This window comes from Homo sapiens, chromosome 9, assembly GCF_000001405.40.
Source record: "Homo sapiens chromosome 9, GRCh38.p14 Primary Assembly".
Lineage (NCBI taxonomy): Eukaryota > Metazoa > Chordata > Mammalia > Primates > Hominidae > Homo > Homo sapiens.
In genome coordinates this window covers 128,958,293-128,984,344 of record NC_000009.12, presented here as the reverse complement: position 1 = coordinate 128,984,344, position 26,052 = coordinate 128,958,293, and the positions used below count along the sequence as shown (strand labels likewise).

At 43.8% G+C, this 26,052-nt stretch overlaps 1 protein-coding gene across 1 annotated transcript in view; it reads right to left on the bottom strand.

Moving 5' to 3' along the window:
• The window catches only part of NUP188 (nucleoporin 188), a 59,398-nt gene that overhangs the window by 22,752 nt on the left and 10,594 nt on the right, over positions 1-26,052 (bottom strand). The window contains exons 7-19 of the mRNA NM_015354.3: positions 25,451-25,543; positions 25,211-25,330; positions 15,628-15,839; positions 14,831-14,945; positions 13,387-13,587; positions 11,096-11,185; positions 5,018-5,083; positions 3,620-3,739; positions 2,955-3,081; positions 1,644-1,796; positions 1,317-1,443; positions 965-1,052; positions 795-871 (exon numbers count right to left, since the gene is read on the bottom strand). Coding sequence (NP_056169.1) covers positions 795-871; positions 965-1,052; positions 1,317-1,443; positions 1,644-1,796; positions 2,955-3,081; positions 3,620-3,739; positions 5,018-5,083; positions 11,096-11,185; positions 13,387-13,587; positions 14,831-14,945; positions 15,628-15,839; positions 25,211-25,330; positions 25,451-25,543 — 1,589 coding nt within the window. The remainder of the gene's footprint in view (positions 1-794; positions 872-964; positions 1,053-1,316; positions 1,444-1,643; positions 1,797-2,954; positions 3,082-3,619; positions 3,740-5,017; positions 5,084-11,095; positions 11,186-13,386; positions 13,588-14,830; positions 14,946-15,627; positions 15,840-25,210; positions 25,331-25,450; positions 25,544-26,052) is intronic.

Sequence of the window (26,052 nt, the reverse complement as noted above, 5' to 3'; positions counted from 1 at the left end):
AGACCAGCCTGGCCAACACGGTGAAACACTATCTCTACCAAAAATGCAAAATTACCGGGGCGTGGTGGTGAATGCCTGTAATCCCAGCTACTTGGGAGGCTGAGGCAGGAGAATCACTTGAACCTGGGAGGCGGAGGTTGTGGTGAGCCAAGATCACGCCATTGCACTCCAGCCGGGGCAACAAGAGCGCAACTCCATCTCAAAAAAAAAAAAAAAAAAATCAGGCCAGGCGCGGTGGCTCACGCCTATAATCCCAGCACTTTGAGAGGCTAAGGCGGGCAGATCACTTGAGACCAGGAGTTCCAGACGAGTCAGACCAACATGGTAAGACCTCGTCTCTATTAAAAATACAAAAAATTAGCCGGGCGTGGTGCCGCACATCTGTAATCCTGGCTACCGGGGAGGCTGAGGTGGGAGAATTGCTTGAACCCGGGAGGCAGAGGCTGCAGTGAGCTTAGATCGTGCCACTGCACTCTGGCCTCGGTAACAGAGCGAAACTCCATCTCAAAAAATAAAAAAAGTAAATAAATACATAAATAATACAAAAATTAGCTGGGCGTGGTGGCTCGAGCCTATAATCCCAGCTACTCGGGAGGCTGAAACACAACAACTGCTTGAACATGGGAGGCGGAGGCTGCACCACTGCACTCCAGCCTGGGCAACAGAGTGAGACTCCATCTCAAAAAAATAAACAAACAAATACATAAAAATAAAATTAATAAACCTAGGCTAGATCTGAGACATATGTGGTTCTCACTAGGGAATATGGCCCACCACCCTAGGACTTGGCTCACCTAATCATCTGACTCAGGCTGGAGACAGGATGGGCCACAAATGGTAAAAAACCTGTGTGACGAAGATCAGTCCAGACCTGAGAAGGAAAAGGAAGAGTTAAATGCCCACATATCTTCAGGTATGTGCCAAGTGCTACATTTTTGGCTCTTGGGAAGATCTGGCATCTCACCTTTGCTGGATTGCGGGCAGCCAAAACAGTTAAGCAGTTGACACAAGAAGCAATGACATCCACAGGTGGGGAGATCACTGTCGTTAACCTGGTTGGAGAACAATACACTATACTCAATAAAGCAAATAATACAACTGGTTCCCTCACAAACATTTTTCCACTTCTCTCTCCCCAGTCTCTCCCCTCAGCAGACATATAAAAACAGGAAAACCCTCACAGATATAAAAACAGGAAAACCAAGGAATATGCGCGAACTTTAACCCAGTGGGTATGTGTCCAGGTTCCTGCAAACTGAGGGCACAAGTGCTGAGATCTCTACTGGGCAGCTGAGGGTCAGCCAAGACAGACTCACCGCTGCAGCAGCATGTAGATGCGAGATGTGATGGGCAGGAGACAGTCTGCTATCGACAGGTCTGTACTGATGACCTTATGGACGAGATCAATGATGGGTTTGACTCGCTGGCAGTGCTGAATCACATCTGAGAAGAAAGACAGCCTGTGACCTCACGGCAAACAACCCCTTTAAGATCACTGAACAGTCTCTGAGACCCAGATACACAAATCAGACAAATCACAATCTTGATGGTTCTAAATTTTATGTAGATATTCTATTTTCTAAATCCTCCAAGCATATCCACTTTTCCTCCTCGTAGGTGATGTTTCCGAAAGCTGACCTTACCTGCAGTTGAAACAACATGAAGCAACATTTCAATCTCGCAGGTAAAGAGGGTCCAGCTGCTATAGGAGTATTCCCAGCGTACCAGGTATGCCCTATCATCCAACATTACTTGGCCCACAGTGCCTTGAGGTATGCGAAGGTTGGTTTGACCCCCTGAGAGAGAAAGATAAATTAGTCTAATATCTGAGGATAAATAAAAAATGTAACTCCTCTACCAGACATCAATATTTTAAACACACAGAGATACACAAACTCACAGACATTTTTTTTTTTTGAGACAGAGTCTCCCTCTTGCCCAGGCTGGAGTGCAGTGGCGCGATCTCGGCTCGCTGCAACCTCCACCTCCTGGGTTCAAGTGATTCTCGTGCTTCAGCCTCCCAAGTAGCTGGGACTACAGGTGCGCACCACCACTCCTGGCTAATTTTTGTATTTTTAGTAGAGATGGGGTTTTCCATGTTGACCAGGCTGGTCTTGAGCTCCTGGCTTCAAGTGATTTGCCTGTCTTGGCCTCCCAAAGTTCTGGGATTCACAGGCTTTCTTCTTAGTAGCTAACATTCCTAAAGCTTTTTCAACTAAAATACACAAAAAAGTTCTTGTCATGTAGACAAGTGTCTTTTTTTTTTTGAGATGGAGTTTTGCTCTTGCTGCCCAGGCTGGAGTGCAATGGCGCGATCTCAACTCACTGCAACCTCTGCCTCCCAAGTTCAAACGATTCTCCTGTCTTAGCCTCCCGAGTAGCTGGGATTACAGGCATGCACCACCACGCCCGACTAATTTTATATTTTTAGTAGAGACGGGGTTTCTCCATGTTGGTCAGGCTGGTCTCGAACTCCCGACCTCACGTGATCCGCCCACCTTGGCCTGTAATCCCAGTGTTGGGATTACAGGCGTGAGCCACTACACCTGGCCGACAAGTGACTCTTTCTATATGTCTGAAAATCACTTGAGTGCAAAGAACAGTTTTCCATTCAAATGATGATAACAACAGTACCTCATAGGACTGTTAGTGCCTAGATGACTGGAGAAGTCAGTGGTGATGATGCCAGGATTAAAACGGTGAGGCTATTCCCTGTATATTTTCCTCTTTGAGCACCTGGTACAGATGTGAGCCTCAGAGTGTAACTGCCTGGATGCATTGGCTCACGTCTATAATCCCAGTGCTTTGGGAGGCTAAGGTGGGAGAATCACTTGAGCCCAAGAATTTGAGGCTGCAGTGAGCTATGATCTTGCCACTGCACTCCAGCTTGGGTGACAGAGCAAGACATCAAAAAAAAAAAAAGCTGTCATAAAAGGGGGATCTCTTTATCTCACCAAGGGGATAAAGGAGTTTGGGTGTTTGTCTCCGCCAAAGAGTTCCATCTTCATGGGAGATCACATCATGAGGCTTGTGTTTATAAAGTTCATTGTAGAAAGACATCTTATCCAAGAAGCTATACACCTGCCAAAACAGAAAAAACCATCACACATTTCCCTCCAGGATAAGCAAGGAGAGGTCCCACAGTCTGCTCTTTCAACCAGACTCTCAAACTTCTTGCAAGCCCACCACTGTGACTGTTCTTGGAACTGCCTTCTGCGCCCCTCGCCAAATCTTCACTGGGCTTTAACACTCAACTCAAGTCCCCATCACTCCACAAGGGCAGTTATCTCTCCTGAACAGTATGGTCTTTATTGCTCAAATGACATTTACTCTGTACCACCTGGCTCTTAGCTATTTATTTCTTATATCTAGTAACTTCCAACTAGATATTAAGGAACTTTATACTTAGTCTTAGTCCCACAGTATCTACAATAGGTACTTAATGAAAAGATTATTTAATTTTTTAGAATTGAGGTGCTATCTTTGGTATCTTTCATTCACCTTCAGACAAACTTTTGTCATGGCAGTAGAACTGCAATGTGGAAAGCAAAAAAGATTCCTAATAAAGTCTCCATAAAGAATCTCCCATTCTCTTTACTTATCTGACTAAGCAACTTACCTTTTTGGCTGTGGACTTCCCTGATACCAGGGCTCGGAGCAGTTGCAGGAGTGGGGAGAGAAGGTGGGGAAACATTCCACACACACTGTCCAGAATGATCCCAAGGCCAGAAGTTGGCTCCTGTGGTGGAAGGGGACAAATCACTGATCTTCACATTATCCACAAATTAACATCTCTCCAAATTTCCCAGCAATCATGAGAAAATTTAGAATTAATCCTTCCTTTTAGACAGATATCATCCCTCCTTAATAATTTAAGACTTTCATATTTCCACTGAAAAAGGATATAAAATAATTGATTTAGTGAGGGACCTAAAAAAAGATTACTATTCTATCCAGTGACCTCTTCCCAGCCATCCTTTCTATGGGAAGACAGTATTGTTCACCTGTGCATTACATGTTTCCACTAAAGTGCAAATTACCCAACTATGTCAGCAGTTGGCTACCACACAGCAACCACAGATCCTCACTCTAGATACTGTTTCATACCAGCTTCTCCTTCTCCCAGGAGCACTGTGGTTCTATAACATCAGACAGCATCTTACAAAAAAGAGGGTAAAATACACAGGTAGATCATCAGTTGGATCTTGAGGTTTGAGACTGTTGTCAATGCTCAGAGCAAGTACTGGTGAGAAATTGTTCTTTTCAAAGCCAAATTCTCACTCTAACTAGTTACAATACCCTGACAACTCATAGGCTACGGTTACAATCTCCTAAAAGCACTTTCAAGAGCTGCAGGAACACTGGTGTCTAAAACACTGCCATATATAAAAACAAAAAACTGGTGGGTTGGAAGGCCGGGCTCAGTGGCTCACGCCTGTAACCCCAGCACTTTGGGAGGCCGAGGCTGGCAGATCACGAGGTCAGGAGATCGAGACCAGCCTGGCCAACATAGTGAAACCCCGTCTCTACTAGAAATACAAAAAATTAGCCAGGCATGGTGGCGGGCGCCTGTAATCCCAGCTACTTGGGAGGCTGAGGCAGGAGAACTGCTTGAACCCGGGAGGCAGAGGTTGCAGTGAGCCGAGATCGCGCCATTGCACTCCAGCCTGGGCAACAGAGCAAGACTCCATCTCAAAAAACAAGACAAAACCAAAACAAAAAAAAAAACCTGGTGGGCTGGAGACAGCACACTGGTAATAACGTGGGCTGCAGACTCAAGTCAGACAGAACTGGGTTCTGGCTGCCTCTTTCTATGTGTGACTTTGAGCAAATCACTTCACATCTCTAAGTGTCATGTGTCATCACATTAAAAGAGGGACAGTAATAGTATCTACTTCATACGTTTTTATGAAGATTAAATGAGAAAATGCACATGAATGCTTAGTACAAAACCTGTAAGAAAACAAGTGTTTGAACAATTCTTTTGCTATGCAGTGACTCTCTCTGACATACTTACTGTTCCCCAGAACAGTTCCGGAAGAGAAGGGTCGGCCAATACTTCACATGCTGTATCAATTATATCCTGTTTGAGGAAGGGAAGAAAAATGGATCATTTTCCCTAGCTGAACCAGTCTATCTTTATTATTGTATTCTGTTGAAATAAAAACACCAAAACACCAATAAACACTAAAGTGGGAAGACCACTTCAATCCAGGAGTTCCAGAGCAGCCTGGGGAACATAGTAAATCCTCTTCTTGAAAACAAATAAATAAATAAAATAAAATAAACACCTTAATATAGAAAGTCAGAAAAAACTGGTTAAGAATTGGTTGGTTGGCTGGGTGTGGGGGCCACCCCTATAATCCTAACACTTTGGGAGGCAAGGCCGGCAGATCACTTGAGGTCAGGAGTTCGAGACCAGCCTGGCCAACATGGTGAAACCCCATGTCTACTAAAAATACGAAAGTTAGCCAGGTGTGGTGGCGCACACCTTATAATCCCAGCTACTTGAGTGGCTGAGGCATGAGAATCACTTGAACCCAGGCAATGGAGGTAGCAGTGAGCCGAGATCATGCCACTGTACTCTAGCCTGGGCAACAAAGTGAGGCTCTGTCTCAAAAAACAAACAAACAAAAAAACTGCTTAAGGGTGGATGGGTTGGTTGACTTATTTATTTATTTATATTTAAAGACAAGGTCATGCTCTATCACCCAGACTAGAGTGCAAGAATTCTGGGTGAGTGGGTTTGTTTCTTCCTTTTTACCTTTTTTTTTTTTTTTTTTTTTTTGAGTCTCACTCTGTCGCCCAGGCTGGAGTGCAGTGGCGCGATCTTGGCTCACTGCAAGCTCCGCCTCCCAGGTTCACGCCATTCTCCTGCCTCAGCCTCCTGAGTAGCTGGGACTACAGGCGCCTGCCACCACGCCCAGCTAATTTTTTGTATTTTTAGTAGAGACGGGGTTTCACCATGTTAGCCAGGATGGTCTCGATCTCCTGACCTCGTGATCCGCCCGCCTCAGCCTCCCAAAGTGCTGGGATTACAGGTGTGAGACCAGCCTCTTTTTACCGTTTTTGTATATAAGTATGTAAGTAGGTATGTTATCTATTTTTAGAGACAGGGTCTTGCTCTGTTGCCAAGACTGGAGTGCAGTGGCACCATCATAGCTCACTGCAGCCTTTAACTCCTGGGTTTAAGTGATCTTCTCGCCTCCGCCTCCCAAAGCACTGGGTTACAGAAGTGTACCACCATGCCCAGCCAAGAACTCTGGGTTTAAAAAGTAAGATTATATCCTGTCCAGGGTGTGTTGTGTCTGCTGTACAATGTTAGACAAATTCATCTCTCTGAGCCAGAAATGCTTTATCTGTAAAATGGGGACAGTAATTTCTGCTTCAAAGTAGGATTATAAGTAAGGATTATAAATAAGGATTAAATGAGATAATGTATGAGGAAGTAGACTGTAAATTCAAAAATGCCACATAAATGTAAGTTATTACTAGGCTCAGCTAAACTGCTCTCCTAGAGGGCAAAAACAATGTCTTTCTTTTTTTTAGATGAAGTTTCGGTCTTTCACCCAGACTGGAGTGTAATAGCACAATCTCGGCTCACTGCAACCTCCGCCTCCCCGGTTTAAGCAATTCTCCTGCCTCAGCATCCCGAGTAACTGGGATTATAGGTGCCCACCACCACGCCCAGCTCATCTCTGCCATTTTAGTTTCACCATGTTGGCTGGGCTGGTCTCAAACTCCTGACCTCAGGTGGCCCGCCTGCCTTGGCCTCCCAAAGTGCTGGGATTACAGACATGAGCCACTGTGCCTGGCCAAGAACAATGTCTTTAATTGTTTTATCCTTAGCGCTTAGCACAGAGCTTAGCATACACAGGGAATCTAATAAATGCTCACTGAATGATTTCTTTAAAATCCAAGTACCTGGTCGGGCACGGTGGCTCATGCCTATAATGCCAACACTTTGGGAGGCCGAGGCAGGCAGATCACAAGGTCAGGAGATCGAGACCATCCTGGCTACCATGGTGAAACCCGTCTCTACTAAAAATACAAAAAAATTAGCTGGGTATGGCGGCGGGCGCCTGTAGTCCCTGCTGCTGGGGAGGCTGAGGCAGGAGAATGGCGTGAACACGGGAGGCGGAGCTTGCAGTGAGCCGAGATCGCGCCACTGCACTCCAGCCTGGGTGACAGAGCGAGACTCCGTCTAAAAAAAAAAAAAAAAAAAAATCCAAGTACCAGGACTCCTGCAACTCTGTTTTTTTGGTTGTTGTTGAGATGGGGTCTCACTCTGTCTCCCAGGTTGGAGTGCAGCGACGCCATCTCAGCACACTGAAACCTGTGTCTCCCAGGCAAGTGATCCTACCTCAGCCTCCTGAGTAGCTGGGACTACACGTGCGCGCCACCACACTCAGTTAACTTTTTGTATTTTTGGTAGAGACAGGGCTTCATCATGTTGCCCAGGCTGGTCCTGAACTCCTGAGCTCAGGTGTTCTACCCACCTTGGCCTCGGAAAGTGCTGGGATTACAGGTGTGGGCCACAGTGCTTGGCCCTAATATGTTAATACCAATCCTCCAGGTGTAAGGTCAGGTCAAAAGTAACCAGAATTCTCCCAAAGTACACAAACCTTGTTCTATGCCCATGACCTTTAGAAATTGAGTCTTTTTTTTTTTTGGAGACAAAGTTTTGCTCTTGTTGCCCAGGCTGGAGTGCAATGTCACAGTCTCAGCTCACTGCAACCTCCGCCCCCCGGGTTCAAGCAATTCTCCTGCCTCAGCCTCCCAAGTAGCTGGGATTACAGGCGCCTGCCACCATGTCCAGCTAATTTTTGTATTTTTAGTAAAGATGGGGTTTCACCATGTTGGCCAGGCTAATCTCAAACTCCTGACCTCAGATGATCTGCCCTCTTTGGTCTCCCAAAGTGCTGGGATTACAGGAGTAAGCCACCACACCCAGCCTCTAGAAATTGAGTCTTTCAATTCAACACAAACTCATTTCTCTCTAATGATAAAAAATTTTAATTTTCACCAAGTTAGTCAATTTACAAAACAAGTTCCTAGTCACTAAAAATGAACAGAGTGATTTAGTTTTCAGGATACTCATCAAATATCATTTCCCACTAAAAATAACCAAGGCTATTAGAATAAGCAGATTTCAGGTCTTACACAAGAATCTTACAAGATAATCCTGTAACATCTTGTACCAGAAAGCAACAGAGAAAAGAGGCAAGGCACAGTGGCTCACACCTATAACCCAAGCACTCTGACAGGCCAAGGCAGGCAGATCACTTGAGGTCAGTAGTTTGAGATCAGCCTGGCCAACAAGGGGAAACACTGTCTCTACTAAAATTACAAAAACTAGCCAGACATGGTGGCGCACACCTGTAATCCCAGCTACTCAAGGGGATGAGGCAGGAAAATCACTTGAACCCAGGAGACAAGAGTTTGCAGCGATCTGAAATCACGCCACTGTACTCCAGCCTGGGCGACAGAGTGAGACTCCGTTTCAAAACAATAAAAAATAAACATAGGCCTGGTGCAGTGGCTAATGCCTGTAATCCCAGCACTTTGGGAGGCTGAGGCAGGCGGATCACTTGAGGTCAGGAGTTTGAGGCCAGCCTGGCCAACATGGCAAAACCCCGTCTACTGAAAATACAAAAATTCGCCAGACGTGGTGGCGTACACCTGTAAACTCAGTTACTCAGGAGACTGAGGCAGGAGAATTGCTTGAACCCAGGAGGCAGACTTGAAGTGAGTGGAGATCACGCTACTTACTCTCCAGCCTGGGCGACAGAGCGAGACTCCGTCTTAAAGAAAAATAAATAAGGCCAGGCGCGGTGGCTCACGCCTGTAATCCTAGCACTTTGGGAGGCTGAGGCGGGCGGATCACGAGGTCAGGAAATCGAGATCATCCTGGCTAACACGGTGAAACCCCATCTCTACTAAAAATACAAAAAAAAGCCAGGCATGGTGGCAGGCGCCTGTTGTCCCAGCTACTCGGGAGGCTGAGGCAGGAGAATGGCATGAACTCAGGAGGCAGAGCTTGCAGTGAGCCAAGATCATGCCACCGCACTCCAGCCTGGACAAGGGCAAGACTCCGTCTCAAAAAAAAAAAAAAAAAGGAAAAGAAAAAGAAATTAATTAATTAAATTTAAAAAGTAAGCAACGGAGAAAATAAAAAAGACAAGAAAGCAACAGAGCTATCAAAATATATAAGGGTAGTGTCAAACAGATTTAGAAAGCTGTTACAGGCCAAATATGGGACTGAGCATAAAAAAAATAACTTCAGCCAGGCATAGTGGCTCACACCTATAATCCCAGCACTCTGGGAGGTGGAGGCAGTGGGATCACCTGAGGTCAGGAGTTCGGGACCAGCCTGGCCAACATGGCAAAACTCCATCTCTTCAAGAAAAACACAAAAATTAGCTGAGCATGGTGGCACACGCCTGTAGTCCCAGCTACTCAGGAGGTTAAGGTGAATGGATCATCTAAGCCCAGGGGGTGCAGGTTGAAGTGGGACGAGATCGCGCCACTGTATTCTGCACTCCAGCCTGTCTCCAAAAAAAAAAAAAAAGAGACAATGTTTTCTGGGGGGCTTTTGTGTGATAACGGTTGTAATGTTAAGTTTTGTTGAAATGTCTGTAGATTAAGTTAAATAGTATCTGACATTTGCTTTGAAATAATCAAGGAGGGAAGGGGCAGAAAAAGGATTATCCATGAGATGATAACTGGTAGAAGCTGGTGATGGGCTCATGGGGTTCATTATGTAATTTTGTCTTCTCTGGTATAAGTTTGAAATGTTTCATCTTAAAAAACATTTTAGGCTAGGTGCCATAGCTCACACCTGTAATCCCAGCACTGTGGGAGGCTGACAGGGATGGACAGCTTAAGCCCAGGAGTTCAAGACCAGCCTGGGCAACACAGTGAGACCCTGTCTCAAAAAAAAAAAAAAAAAAAACAACAACCTGCTGCAGAAGACTTACTAGCACCAACAAATGTCTGGGACAGATGTACTACAGAGTAAAAAAAATGAGGTTACAAAACGGTATATATTTGGGAAGCCGAGGTGAGAAGTCCTGGAGTTTGAGACCAGCCTGGGCAATATACTGAGACCTGGTTTCTTAAAAAATAAACAAACAGGGCCAGGTGCAGTGGCTCACACCTGTAATCCCAGCATTTTGGGAAGCCAAGGCAGGTGGATCACGAGGTCAGGAGTTTGGGACCAGCTGGCCAAGATGGTGAAACCCCGTCTCTACCAAAAATAAAAAAATTAGCCGGGCGCGGTGGCAGGCACCTCTAATCCCAGCTATTTAAGAGGCTGAGGCAGAAGAATCGCTTGAACCCAGGAGGCAGAGGTTGCAGTGAGCCGAGATCGCGTCACTGCACTCTAGCCTGAGCAACAGAGCAAGACTCCGCCTCAAAAAAAATAAATGCATAAATAAATAAATAAACAGAAATTTTAAAAATAGTAAATCCATTGTTGTTCAATTTCTAGAGAAGAATTACTATATTTTCATGTATATACGTATTTGGAAAATGGAAGGGAATACATCAAAATGTTATCAAGTTATCTATGTGATAGGACTATACTTTTTTCTTTTTACAGCATTTTCTGTTTTTTCTACAATTAACATTTATCACCTATATAACAGTAAATGAAGACAAGGCCGGGTGCAGTGGCTCATGCCTGTTATCCCAGCACTTTGGGAGGCCGAGGCAGGCGGATCGCCTGATGTCAGGAGTTTAAGACCAGCCTGGTCGACATGGTGAAAGCCCGTCTCTACCAAAAATACAGAAATTAACTGGGCAAGGTGGCGGACGCCTGTAATTCCAGCTACTTAGGAGACTGAGACAGGAGAATCGCTCGAACCCAGGAGGCGGACGCTGCAGTGAGCCAAGATCGTGCCACCACACTCCAGCCTGGGGGACAGAGCAGGACTCCATCTCAAAAAAAAAGAAAAAAGTAAATAAAAAAATGAGTGCCAGTAAACAAATTAACACATGAGGTAAATAATATCAGATCCAATGGGGGTATATTTTTGGGACTTGATTGCAAAGCTGGGCAGTAGAGACAGCTTCATGAAAGCCAGACACTGACCTGCTGATTGCCCAGGGTGTGCAGCTCCAACGAGGTCAGAACGAAAGAGAGCAGTCCATAGACACACATGCATGCAGTGCTGGTGGTGCACTGGAATGACAAAGGAGTCAGTGAATCATTCTGAGTAATACAACTCTTCCCCAGGTTCGGCATAATCCTATCGCATTCATATATTCTTTGTAAACAAATGGGAAGGAAATCTGAAGCTTCATAATTTTCCTAATTTAGTTACAAGATCAGGAAGACCAAGGGAGAAAAGAGAAAGCAGGAACCACAAATATTACAACAAAGTCAAGAATAAAATCAGAAGGGAATTATTGCCAAAATCATCAAAGTTTGTGTGGGGAAAAAGAAAACCATATCCAGCCTACAGTAAACAGTCTGCATGTGGTAATGGGAATTGATATAGCACCTGAATGGCCACCAAGATAAGCCAACCAGTGACAACGAGTAGGGCCTGCTGGCTGAGTTTTCTTCCTTTTAAATAGGCTTTGTTTTGTAGAGCAGTTTTAGGTTCATAGCAAAACTGAGCAGAAAAGTACAAAGATTTCCCATATATCCTCTGCCTCCACACATAAATAGCATCCCACCAAAACAGTACAATTGTTACAACTGAATAACTTCAATTGGCATTATTATTATCACCCAAAGTCCACAGTTTACACTAAGGGTCACTCTTGTGTTGTACATTGTATGGATTTTTGGACAAGTATGACATGTATCCACCATTGTAGTATCACATGGAATAGCTTCACTGCCCTAAAAATCCTCTGTGAAATCCTCTGTGTTCTACCTAATTCAGACCTCCTGCTCCACTAGACCGTTGGCAACCCACTATTCTCTTTAATGTCTCCAAGGTTTTGCCTTCTCCAGAATGTCACGTAGTTGGAATCATATACTATGAAGCCTTTTTAGATTGGCTTCATTTACTAATATGCATTTAATGTCTTCTCCATGTCTTTTCATGGTTTGATGGCTCATTTAGCAGTATATAAATATTCCATCATCTAGATGTACAACAGTTTAGTTATACTTACTGAAGGACCTTTTAGTTGCTTTCGAGTTTTAGTAATTACGAATAAAGCTGCTATAAAGGTCTGTGTGTATGTTTTTGTGTGGATATGTTTTCAACGCCTTTGGGCAAATGCGTACCAACCAAGGAGTATAATTGCTGATTTGGCCGGGCACGGTGGCTCACACCTGTAATCCCAGAACTTTGGGAGGCTGAGGTGGGCAGATCACTTGAGATCAGTAGTTTGAGACCAGCCTTGCCAACATGGTGAAACCCCATCCCTACTACAAATACAAAAAATAGCCGGGCATGGTGGCAGGTGCCTGTAATCCCAGCTACTTGGGAGGCTGAGGCACGAGAATCACTTGAACCCGGGAGGCAGAGGTTGCAGTGAGCTGAGATCCACTGTACTCCAGCCTGGGCAATAGAGCAAGACTCAGTCTCAAAAAAAAGAAAAAGGAAAGGAAAAAATAATTGCTGAACCTGAGGTTTCATTTCACCATGTCAAAACGAGCTCACTAGCTGGGCACGGTGGCTCACGCCTGTAATCCCAGCACTTTGGGAGGCCGAGGCGGGTGGATCACGAGGTCAGGAGTTCAAGACTAGCTTGGCCAAGATGGTAAAACCCCGTCTCTACTAAAAATACAAAAAATTAGCTAGGCGTTGTGGCAGGCACCCGTAGTCCCAGCTACTTGGGAGGCTGAGGCAGGAGAATCGCTTGAACTTGGGAGGCAGAGGTTGCAGTGAGCCAAGATCGTGCCACTGCACTCCAGCCTGGGTGACAGAGCAAGACTCTGTCTCAAAAACAAACAAACAAACAAACAAACAAGCTCTCTAAACCATGCCACTCAAACCCCAACATAAGACTCAAGAGAATTTCTAATTCATCTTGTTACAGTTGATTAAGTCCCCTGAAAGTGACTTCTCCAGTCAATATGGCCAAAGCTATCTTCTTAAGACATACTTTACTGGCAAAGAGTTCAAACCGTTATCTACCATTTACTGGCATTTTTGTTGCTTTGGGCAAATTACATCTCTCTGAGTCTCAATTTCCTAATGTATAAAACAGAATGATAATCTTTAACACGAAGAAGTGTTACAAGGATTCAAAAAGATAATGTTCATAAACATTATAAATAATGCCTGATGATGTCTAAATGCTCTCAAAAGGTTAGTTACAACATGATCCCATTATCCACACCACCATTATAACTATTACATTATTATAATGCTTCTGCCGGCTCACTCCCATGCTCACCACCCAGAGCCTTAAACTCACATCATTTCCCCCACTGGCAAGGGACTGGAGCAATCGGGTCAAGTACTGAAACACATTCAGCTGGATGGCTGTGCCACCTATCTTCCGGACCACACTGCTTGTCTCTTCTGGGTTCAGAGTGTGACGGAGGAGAGCCCAGGCCAAAAGCACTGGGGCATGATGTGGAATGTCCCCAAAGGTCAACATTAAACAGTCCATATCCTAGTGAGAGAAGAAAACACATCTACATCTCCGAACAGAAAGTGTTAATATCCCTCGACCAGATTCTTCATCACGCTCAATAAGCAAGCCATAAAGAGTGGCCTCACTCTCTCATTCTGATATTTCACTCTTCTCAAACCCCCAGTCACCTCACTAATAAACCCCTCAATTACAATTACTCTTCCTTTACCCACAAAATTTGTCTACTAATTTTATGTAGTCTTAAGATTATAAAATGCATGTTACGATACATTCCTTAGAAATTTTATCCTGATCCTTCTCAAACTTTCTATGCTCTATCTTCATTTTCTATCTTCCTAACCATCTCATCTCAATGTTTTTCCCCTTTCCTCTTCTTTCACAGGCTCCTTAAATGCAGTCAATCCCCAGGGTTTTCTCCTTGGGCCTCTTTTGTCCTTGTACCATCTCCATGAATGAATCACTCTCACAGACTCAATTATCACCTTGGTATAGATGACTGACGAACCTGAGATTTCCTCCAGGTCTAATCAACTGTTTAACATTGTAGAGGCCGGGCACGGTGGCTCAAGCCTGTAATTCCAGCACTTTGGGAGGCTGAGGCAGGTGGATCACTTGAGGTCAGGGGTTCAAGACTAGCCTGGCCAACATAGTGAAACCCCATCTCTATTAAAAATATAAAAATTAACTGGACGTGGTGGCATGTGCCTGTAATCCCAGCTATTCCAGAGGCTGAGGCACAAGAATCTCTTGAACCCAGGAGGTGGAGGTTGCAGTGAGCCGAGATGGCACCACTGCACTCCAGCCTGGGTGATAGAGGAAGACTCTGTCTCAAAAAAAACAAAACAGACTGGGCATGGTGGCTCACGCCTGTAGTCCCAGCACTTTAGGAGGCTTAGGCGGGAGGATCACGAAGTCAGGAGATTGAGACCTCTTGGCCAAAATGGTGAAACCCAGTCTCTACTAAAAATACAAAAATTAGCTGTGATCCCAGCTACTTGGGAGGCTGAGGCAGAAGAATCACTTGAACCCAGGAGGTGGAAGTTGCAGTGAGCCAAGACCACGCCACTGCATTCCAGCATGGTGACAGAGCTAGACTTCATCTCAAAAAACCAAAACAAAACAAAACGAAAACATTGTAGAACCTCTGCATCACTGAACAATGTAGTTCCACAACACTGAAAATTTTATGCAGCAGTTCAATAATTGAAAGCTACTACTAACTTATAAACCCTCTGAAAAAAAAGAGGCTATTCCAAGTCACCTGACAAATAAGCCCATCCTGCGCAAACTGATGCAGTTCTCTTCTGTCATCCAAAGCACACTTATGCAAGGACTCGATATCCATGCCCTCCACCAGGATGAGGGCACTGAAGTAGCTAGAAAGAAAAATAGTATCACCATGTTATATATCCCGTTCTGAAACTCACTAGAGACAAAGGTGAGATATAAGACACTGCGATATCAAAAAAACCTATTGGGCCAGGCATAGTGGCTAACGCCTATAATCCTAACACTTTGAGAGGCAGAGGTGGGAGGATCACTTGAGGCCAGGAGTTCAAGACTATCTTGGACAACAAAGTGACACCCCATCTATACCACACACACACAAAATTAACTGGTATATATCTTTGCTCACAGAGTGACCAGGCCCCCAGTTATGGATATATCCACGGTCATAAATAGAGAAAAAACAAGAAATTTAAAGTCCATAGACTATCACCTGAAAGAGAAGAGCAAGCATATATGCCTTATTTATCACTATCTTGTTAGCATTTGCATAGTGCTTGGCCTACAATAGTTGTTCAACGAATTTTTGTTCAATGAATGAATGAACCCCTTAAATGAAGACAGTAAGTAAAAGAGCAGATTACAATACTCATTTTGAGAGTCCTCTCTCAATCCCAGTCTTTACTCCCTGCATGAAAGGGAACGTGGCAGTAGACCTATTTCCCCACCGATTAAGTGAAAAGTACACCTACCCCCTACCTGCTTACATACCACTATAGTATCAATGCTCTAAACACTGCAAGTTCCATGATGTTCAATTCACTGACTTACCCAATCCGATCTACAAAAGGATCCATAGTCTCATCCACCAGGTGCCTATTGGTCTGCCTACTACCAAATCCTTGCTCTTTAAACATCTTGGTTAATACAAGTAAGTCACTGGGTGCCATCTCAAAGTATGCATAATAAAGGAAAATAATTTCTAGCAGCATGGACTGTTCCCGAAGGCACTGAACAAACCAGCGAGACACTTGGCGCTCTGTCTGTACAACCAATGAAAACAAAATGGGAGAGAAATAACATGAGATTAAAAACAGTACTTAAAGAACATTTTTTAAAGAAAGGGTCTCAATCTGTCACCCAGGATACAGTGCAGTGGCAGATTATGGCTGCTCAAACTGCTACACGCAACTGATCCTCCTACCTCAGCCTCCTAAATAGCTGAGACTACAGGCGCAAGCCACTGCACCTGGTCCGTATTTAATTTTTTTTTTTAAGAGACAGATTTTTTGCTTTTTTTTTAAGAGACAGGGTCTGACTCTATCACCCAGGCTGGAGTGCAGCAGTACAATTATAGCTTATGGCAGCTGCCCTCTCACCTGAGCCTCTCGAGTAGTTAGGACTAAAAGTGAGCACAAACATGCCCAGCTCATTTTTTCTTTTTTTAAATTTTTGGAAGAGAACAGGTCTTGCTATGTTGCACAGGCTGGTTTTGAATTCCTAGCCTCAATCGATCCTCCTGGGAGGCCAAAGCACTGGGATTAAAGGCGTAAGCCACTGTGCCCAGCCAACCAATGTATCTTTTCTTTTGAGAGAGGGTCTCGCTCTGTCACCCAGAGTACACCCAGAGTACACCCACAGCTCACTGCAGCTTTGACCCACCGGGCTCAAGCAATCCTCCTGCCTCAGCCACCCAAGTAGCTGGAACTACAGGTTAGCACCATGTCTAGCTAATTCTTTTAATTTTTTTTTTTTTTTGAGACGAAGTCTCACTCTTATCCCCCAGGCTGGAGTGCAATGGCGCGATCTTGGCTCACTGCAACCTCCGCCTCCCAGGTTCAAGCAATTCTCCTGCCTCAGCCTCCCGAGTAGCTGGGATTACAGGCGCCTGCCACCACGCCCGGCTGATTTTTTTCTTTTTAGTAGAGACAGGGTTTCACTATGTTGGCCAGACTGGTTTCAAACTCCTGACCTCAGGTGATCCGCCCACCTTGGCCTCCCGAGTGCTGGGATTACAGGCGTGAGCCACCGCGCCCAGCCAATTTTTTAAATTTTTTGTAGAAGCAAGGTCTTGCTATGTTGCCAGGGCTGGTCTTGAATTCCTGGGCTCAACCAATCTTCCCACCTTCACCTCACAAAGTGGTGGGATTACAGGCCTGAGCCACCATACACCCAGCTGCAACAATGTATCTTAAAAATTATCTCCTATAAAGGTATAGTAAAAATTTTCTGGACTAGCAGGGTGGCTCACGTCTATAAGCCTAATACTTGAATACTTTGGGAGGCCAAAGTGGGAGGACTGTTTGAGGCCTGGAGTTCAAGACTAGTCTGGGAAACACAGTGAGACTCCATCTCTAGAAAAAGTTTTTAAAAATGAGCCAGGCATAGAGGTGCATGCCTGTAGTCCCAGCTACACTGGAGCCTAAGGCAGGAGAGTCACTTGAGCTGGGGAGGTTGAGGCTGCAGTAGGCTACAATCATGCCCCTGTACCCCAGCCTGGGTGACACAGTGAGACTCTGTCACACACACACACAAAAACCCTCCCTATTTTTAATCCTTTTATTTGCATAATAATTCATTATGTGGATATGCCATAGATTATTCAACCAATACACTCAATATTTTTAACACTACATAGTATTCCACTGCACATAAATGCCATCATTGATTTTACCTGCTCACTTGGATGGATGAGCATTTAGGTTACTACCAATCCCTTGCTAATAAACTCATACTATTCAACTGAAAAAACAACTAGACATTCTTTCCAGGTGTACAGGTACAATCACCAAGAAAGATCATAAGGTAGGCCATAAAACATGAGACAGTAAATTTTAGAAGACTAAAATGACAAAGAATGTGTTCTCTGATAACAGAATCAAATAAAAACATTGAGAACAATAAGATGTTTCGTCTGCTATAGTACTTCACACCTGTAATCCCAGCACTTTGGGAGGCCAAGGTGGTCAGATCCCTTCAGCCCGGGAGTCCAAGACTAGCCTGGGCAACATGGCAAAACCTGCAGCATCTTGTAGTCCTAGCTAGTTGGGAGGCTGAGGTAGGAGGATTACCTGAGCCCAGGAGGTCAAGGCTGCAGTGAGCCGTGATTGTGCCACTAAACTCCAGCCTGGGCAACAGAGAAAGAACCTGTCTCAAAAAAAAAACCCAGATATTTACAAAAAACATCCAATATTTGGACATTAAATCCAGAGAGTCTCACTCTGCGTGACAGTGAGACTTCTAACACATACACACACACAAACACACACACACACACACACACACACAGACACAGAGACAGACAGAGACAGAAATCCATTTAAAAAGGGAGAAAAAACATATACATATATAAAAACTAAAGAACAAGGCTGGGCACACGCACACACACACACACACACACACACACACACACACACACACGGAGGCAGAAATCTATTTTAAAAAAAGAGAGAGAGTCCGGGCGCGGTGGTTCACGCCTGTAATCTCAGCACTTTAGGAGGCCGAGGCAGGCAGATCATGAGGTCAGGAGTTCGAGACCAGCCTGGCCAACATGGTGAGACCCCATCTCTACTAAAAATACAAAAAAAGCTGGGCGTGGTGGTGGGCGCCTGTAATCCCAGCTATTTGGGAGGCTGAGGCAGGAGAATCATTTGAACCCAGGAGGCAGAGGTTGCGGTGAGCCAAGATCACACCATTGCACTCCAGCCTGGGCAACAAGAGTGAAAATTTAAAAAAAAAAAAAAATACACAACAGAAATCAATTAAATATAAAACAGACATTACAATAAAGAAAACTGGCCAGACGTGGTGGCTCACGTCTATAATCCCAGCACTTTGGGAGGCTGAGGGGGCCGGATCACCTGAGCTCAGGAGTTCGAGACCACCCTGGGCAACATGGTGAAACCCTGTCTCTACTAAAATACAAAAAATTAGCTGAGCTTAATAGTGCACACCTGTACTCCCATCTACTTGGGATGCTGAGGCACAAGAATCACTTGAGCCCTAGAAGTGGATGTTGCAGTGAGCCAAGAATGCGCCACTGCACTCCAGTTTGGGCTATAGAGTGAGACTCTGTCTCAAAAAAAAATTTTTTTTAATAAAGAAAATTGAAGACAAAAACTACCATTATCAGAAATGAGTAAGAGCACAGCACTAGACTCTAAAGAGAGTAAAAGCATAAGAAAATAATATGAACAGCCTTATGTAAATAGATTTCACCAATGAAATGAAATGAACAAATTCCTTAAAAGATACAAATTACCAAAACTGTCCCAAATAGAAACAGGAAACTTGAATAGCTCTGTATCAATCAAGGAAAACAATTCAGTATTTAAAACTTTGTTAGAAACTTGATGAAAATTTTAAAAAGAGATAAAAAAATTTTAATCAATAAATAAAAGAATTAAAAACCTTCCCACAAAGAAAACTCCAGACCCAGATGGCTTCACTGGTAAATTCTATCAAACATTTAAGGACAAGCTCCAAAAGGCAGGAGCCATAATAGACAAAACTGACAAAAACATTTATCAAAACTTAAAATTTTGGCCGGGTGAGGAGGCTCATGCCTGTAATCCTAGCACTCTGGGAGGCCGAGACGGGTGGATGACCTGAGGTCAGGAGTGAGACTAGCCTGGCCAACATGGCGAAACCCCATCTCTACTAAAAATAACACAAATTAGGAAGGCGTGGTGGCACATGCCTGTAATCCCAGCTACTCGGGAGGCTGGAGGCAGCAGAATCCCTTGAACCCGGGAGGCAGAGATTACACTTAGCCAACATCGTGCCACTGCACTCCAGCCTGGGTGACTGAGTGAGAGCGTCTCAAAAAAAAAAAAAAAAAAATTAAAATTAAAATGTTGGCTCTTGGAAAGATACAGTCTAGGAGCAGTGGCTCATGCCTGTCATCCCAGCACTTTGGGAGGCGCCAAGGCAGATAAATCATTTGAGCTCAGGAGCTTAAGACCAGCCTGGGCAACATGGCAAAACCATCTCTACAAAAAAAAAAAAAAAAATACAAAAATTAGCCAGGTATGGTGGTACCCGCTTGTAGTCCCAGCTACTTGTGGGGCTGTGACAGGAGGGTCACTTGAGTCAGGGAGGTCGAGGCTGCAGTGAACCATGTTCCCACCACTGGATTCCAGTCTGAGTGACAAACCGAGACCTTGTCTCAAAAAAAAAAAAAAAGAATTAAGGTGGGAAAAGACAAGCCACTAGGTGGAAGAAAAAAGTTGTAAAACATCTATCTGGTAAATAGCTTATATTTACAATACTGTATATAAAGAACTCTGACAATTTGATAAGACAAACATCCACAAAAAACAATGGGATAAAAATGTGAACAGACACTTGACTGAAGAAGGTGTAAGTAAATAAGCACGTGAAAAGATGTTCAACATCACTAGTCATCAGGGAAATGCAAATTAAAACCACAGTGAGACCAGGTGTGGTGGCTCACACCAGTAATCCCAGCACTTTGGGAGGCCTAGGCGGGTGGATCACAAGGTCAGGAGATTGAGACCATCCTGGCTAACACGGTGAAACCCTGTCTCTACTAAAAATACAAAAAATTAGCCGGACGTGGTGGCATGCCTGTAGTCCCAGCTACTCGGGAGGCTGAGGCAGGAGAATCGCTTGAACTCAGGAGGCAGAGGTTGCAGTGAGCCAAGATCGTGCCACTGCACTCCACCCTGGGCGACAGTGTGAGACTCCGTCTCAAAAATAAAAAAAAAAAAAACCCACAATAAGACAGGCATGGTGGCATATGCCTGTAATCCCAGCCTACTCAAGAGGCCAAGCAGAAGGATCACTTGAATCCAGGAGTTCAAGGCCAATTTGGGCAAAATAGCAAGACCCTATCTCAAAACAAACAAACCACAATGAGATATTACTATATACTTATTTAGGATGTTTAAAATTAACAGCCATACCAAGTGTTGGTGACAATGTCAAACAAAAAGAATTCTCATACATTTCTGGTGGGAATGCAAAACGGTATAGCCACTATGGATAAACAATTTATCAATTCTTTATAAAAATTTCATTTACGGCTGGGCATGGTGGCTCATGCCTGTAATCCCAGTATTAAAAATACAAAAATTAGCCAGGTGTGGTGATGCATGCCTGTAATCCCAGCTACTCAGGAGGCTGAGGCAGGACAATCGCTTGAACTCAGGAGGCAGAGGTTGCAGTGAGTCGAAATCGCGCCACTGAACTCCAGCCTGGGCGACAGAGCGAGACTCCGTCTCAAAAAAAAAAAAAAAAAAAAATTTACATTTACGACTCAGCAATCTCACTCTCAGGTATTTATTTACCCAGGATAAATGAAAACTTATGTCAAAAAACCCATATGCTAATGTTCATAGCACATTATTCCTAATAGTCAAAAAACAAAAATGACAAATGGCTGGCTATCAACTGAGAAATGGATAAACAAAATATGGTATATCCACACAATGGAATGTTTACTACTCAACCATAAATAAGAATGAAGTACTAGTATATGATATAACATGGATGAATCTCAAAAACATGACATTAACTGAAAGAAGCCAAACAGAAAATTCTACATATTGTGTGGTTCTATTTATATGTAATTCCAGAAAAAGTAAAAGTATAGTCACAGTTACTTAAAAATAGTTAAAATGGTAAATTTTATGCTATGTCTATTTTATCACAATTTAAAAAATCATAATTAAACAAAAAACTGCTGAATCAAGAAATATGTACTTTGTAAATTTTTAGATATTATCAAAATGCTTCCCATTAAAAAGTATATCAATTTAGTTGCGAATAATGGCTCACACCTATAATCCCAGCACTTTGAGAGGCTGAGGCGGGAGGACTGCTTGAGCCCAGCCGGCTATTCTTATTTTGCATATGAATTTTTTTTGAGACAGAGTCTCGCTCTGTGGCCCAGGATGGGGTGCAAGTGGTGTGATCTTGGCTCACCACAACCTCCATGCCCATCCCGGTGTAAGTTTTTATACTCAAGAATATGGTGTGCCGGGCACAGTGGCTCACGCCTGTAGTCCCAGCACTTTGGGAGGCAGAGGTGGGTGGGTCAGGAGGTCAGGAGACCAACACCATCCTGGCTAACACGGTGAAACCCTGTCTCTACTAAAAATACAAAAAAATTAATTGGGCGTGGTGGTGGGCGCCTGCAGTCCCAGCTACTTGGGAGACTGAGGCAGGAGAACGGCGTGAACCCGAGAGGTGGAGCTTGCAGAGAGCCGAGATCGTGCCACTGCACTCTAGCCTGGGTGACAGAGCGAGACTCCGTCTCAAAAAAAAAAAAAAAAAAGAGTATGGTGTGTTGGTCAGGTGCAATGGCTCACCACCGTAATCCCAGCACTTTGATGGGTTGAGGTAGGCAGATCACCTGAGGTCAGGAGTTCCAGACCAGCCTGACCAACATGGAGAAACCCCATCTCTACTCAAAATACAAAATTAGCTGGGTGTGGTGGCGCATGCCTTTAATCCCACCTACTCAGGAGGCTGAGGCAGGAGAATTGCTTGACCCAGGAGGTGGAGACTGTGGTGAGCCAAGATCATGCCATTGCACTCCAGCCTGGGCAACAAGAGTAAAACTCCGTCCAAAAAAAAAAAAAAGAGTATGGTATGTCCTAGGCCGGGCATGGTGGCTGGCTCACGCCTGTAATCCCAGCGCTTTGGAGGCCAAGGCAGGCAGATCACCTGAGGTCGGGAGTTCTAGACCAGCCTGACCAACATGGAGAAACCCTGTATCTACTAAAAATACAAAATTAGCCGGGCGTGGTAGCACATGCCTGTAATCCCAGCTACTCAGGAAGCTGAGGCAGGAGAATCACTTGAACCTGGGAGGCGGAGGTTGTGGTGAGCCAAGATCACGCCATCGAACTCCAGCCTGGGCAACAAGAGCGAAACTCCGTCTCAAAAAAAAAAAAAAAATCTATCTATCTATCTATCTATCTATCTATCTAGATAGATAGATAGATATAGATATAGATATATATAGTGTGTCTTTCCCTTTGGTTATTTATTTATTTATTTATTTATTTTTGAGACAGAGATTGCTCTGTTGCACAGGCCAGAGTGCACTGGCGTCATCTCGGCTCACTGCAACCTCCACCACCTGGATTCAAGCATTTCTCCTGCCTCAGCCTCCTGAGTAGCTGGGAGTACAGGCACGTGCCACCACGCTCAGCTAACTTTTATATTTTTATTTTTATTTTTATTTTTCTGAGACAGAGTCTTGCTCTGTCGCCTAGGCTGGAGTGCAGTGGTGCAATCTCGGCTCACTGCAACCTCTGCCTCCTGGATTCAAGCAATTCTCCTGCCTTAGCCTCCCGAGTAGCTGGGATTACAGGCACGCACCACCATGCTCAGCTAATTTTTTTTTTTGTATATTTTTTTACTAGAGACAGGGCTTCACCATATTGGCCAGACTTGCATTTTCATTTTTTATGGTTTTTTTTTTTTTTTTTTGAGACGGAGTCTTGCTCTGTCACCCCAGGCTGGAGTACAGTGGCGCAATCTTGGCTCACTGCAACCTCTGCCTCCTAGGCTCAAGTGAATCTCCCACTCCAGCCTCCTGAGTAGCTGAGACTACAGATGGGTGCCACCACACTCGCCTAATTTTTGTATTTTTAGTAGAGACGAGGTTTCACCATGTTGGCCAGGCTGGTTTTGAACTCCTGACCTCAAGCGATCCGCCCACCTTGGCCTCCCAAAGTGCTGGGATTATAGGCCTGAGCCACCGTGCCCCACCAATTTTTGTATTTTTAGTAGAAACAGGGTTTTACCATATTGGCCAGGCTTGTCTCGAACTCCTGACCTAAAGTAATCTGCCTGCCTTGGCCTCCCACCGTGCTAGGATTACAGGCATGAGCCACTGTGCCCAGCCTCAGTTATGTCTTCTTTTACACCTTTTATAGCATTTTTAAAGTTCTCTTCACTTAAATTTTATATTGTCCTAAACTTATTCCTGGGAATTTTATGCTTTTATTGCTATTTCATGCTTCTGACTGCAAACTTTCTGAGACAGAAATGTCATATGTATAAATAGGCCCTTTTCATCTATTAAATATTTTTTAAGTAGCTGTGTTTTTGATGTGTTTTAATAAGAATGTATTATTTTTAAAACAAACAAGGTCATGCTATAATCGATAGATGCAAATTGGTTTAGAAATTAGGATAAAATAGCCAGGCGCGGTGGCTCACGCCTGTAATCCCAGCACTTTGGGAGGCTGAGGCGGGGAGATAGAGACCATCCTGGCTAACACGGTGAAACCCTGTCTCTACTAAAAAAAAACAAAAAACAAAAAAAACAAAAACAAAAAATTAGCTGGGCGTGGTGGCGGGCACCTGTAGTCCCAGCTACTCGGGAGGCTGAGGCAGGAGAATGGCGTGAACCCGGGAGGTGGAGCCTGCAGTGAGTGGAGATCTCACCACTGCATTCCAGCCTGTGCAACAGAGTGAGACTCTGTCTCAAAAAAAAAAAAAAAAAAAAAAGAATAAAATAATCAGACTAGTGTTACACATTGAGCAGAAAATAATAAGATGATATATTAGGTTCAGAATTCTATTAACCACTAAACAAATTTTAGGTAAGAAATGAAAGTAAACTAATGGGATTGAAAAAAAGTCAAAGTCAGAATTAAGTACTATTAATTAATGTCATCAATATTTTGATTTATATGACATGTTTAAACTTTTCTCAAGAATGATAACCTAGGTCAGGCACAGTGGCTCATGCCCATAACCCCAACACTTGGAGGCCAAAGCAGGTGGATCACCTGAGGTCGGGAGTTCGAGACCAGCCTGGCCAACATGGTGAAACCCTATCTCTATCTCTACTAAAAATACAAAAAATTAGCTGGGCGTGGTGGCAGGTGCCTGTAATCCCAGCTACTTGGGAGGCTGGGGCAGTAGAATCACTTGAACCCGGGAGGTGGAGGTTGCAGTGAGCTGAGATTGTGCCATTGCACTCCAGCTTGAGCAACACAGGGAAACTCCATCTCACCAAAAAAAAAAAAAAAAAAAAGATAATCTGTATGTTTTAAATGAATGAATAAATAATTTAACTTGCAGCTCTATAAGCAAGGGTATACAATTCTCCTAAGAGTTATAGGCCAGGTGTAGTCGCTCACACTTGTAATCCCAGCACTTTGGGAGGCTGAGGTGGGCGGATCACCTGAGGTCAGGAGTTCGAGACCAGCCTGGCCAACATGGTGAAACCCTGTCTCTACTAAAAATGCAAAAATTGGCTGGGCGTGACGACGGGTGCCTGTAATCCACTGAGGTAGGAGAATTGCTTAAAACCAGGAGATGGAGGTTGCAGTGAGCCGAGATCATGCCACTGCACTCCAGCCTGGGTGACAGAGGGAAACTCCATCTTAAAAAAAAAAAGTTACAGGAGAGCACAGTAACCACATACCATGAGATTTCCATGTGTCTCCCAAGTTGGTGCTTCAGTTTTATAAAGCTCTTCGAACTGCTGTCTGTATTTTGAAACTAGTTCCTTCTCCAATTTATCAACACAGTCTGCATATTCAACCTTTAAAAAATCAAAAGAGTAAATTATACCTAGAATAAAAGGTAAATATTCAAATAAATATTAATAAAATTATTAAGATGATACAGTATAAAGAGAAGCAAGAGGACTAAACAAGCTTACCCTATAGGGGTGTCTTTCATCTTGGAAGTAAGTGAGAAGGTGTAAGACACAACGAAGAATACAGGTTCTTTCTTCATAATAATAATCTGCAATCTGAGGAACCCAAAATTCAAAATCAGTTACTCACCTTTGCACATAGGAAACTCAAGTTTAAATTTAGTGATAATTTCACTTAAAGATGTGGATGGAAAAGTTCAATTTATATAAATAAGGAATCACAGAAATGCAAACATACTGAATTAGGCCAAAATAAAGGAAAAGACATTCATAAACCAGAATATACAGGATGAAAGGAATTAATTGTTTAACAATATACACAAGTTTCCAAAAATGTTTTCTAGCATGATTTCTCAGAGCATTCATGTAGCACACAATGCTATCAACAGGCAGGCCAAACACATAAAAACAAATTCCACTGATATAGGTCCTAATTGCTTGTAACTAATGTACTTATTCTCACTAAATATAAAATAGGAAACTTCTTCAGAAGTCACAAATTACATTTTAACACGAGATCCTAAGTGAGAAGGTTGCTGGAAAGGGACTGAAGAATAAAGAAATAAAGAAATACAAATTAATCCTGTTGGACTTACACCTAAAGA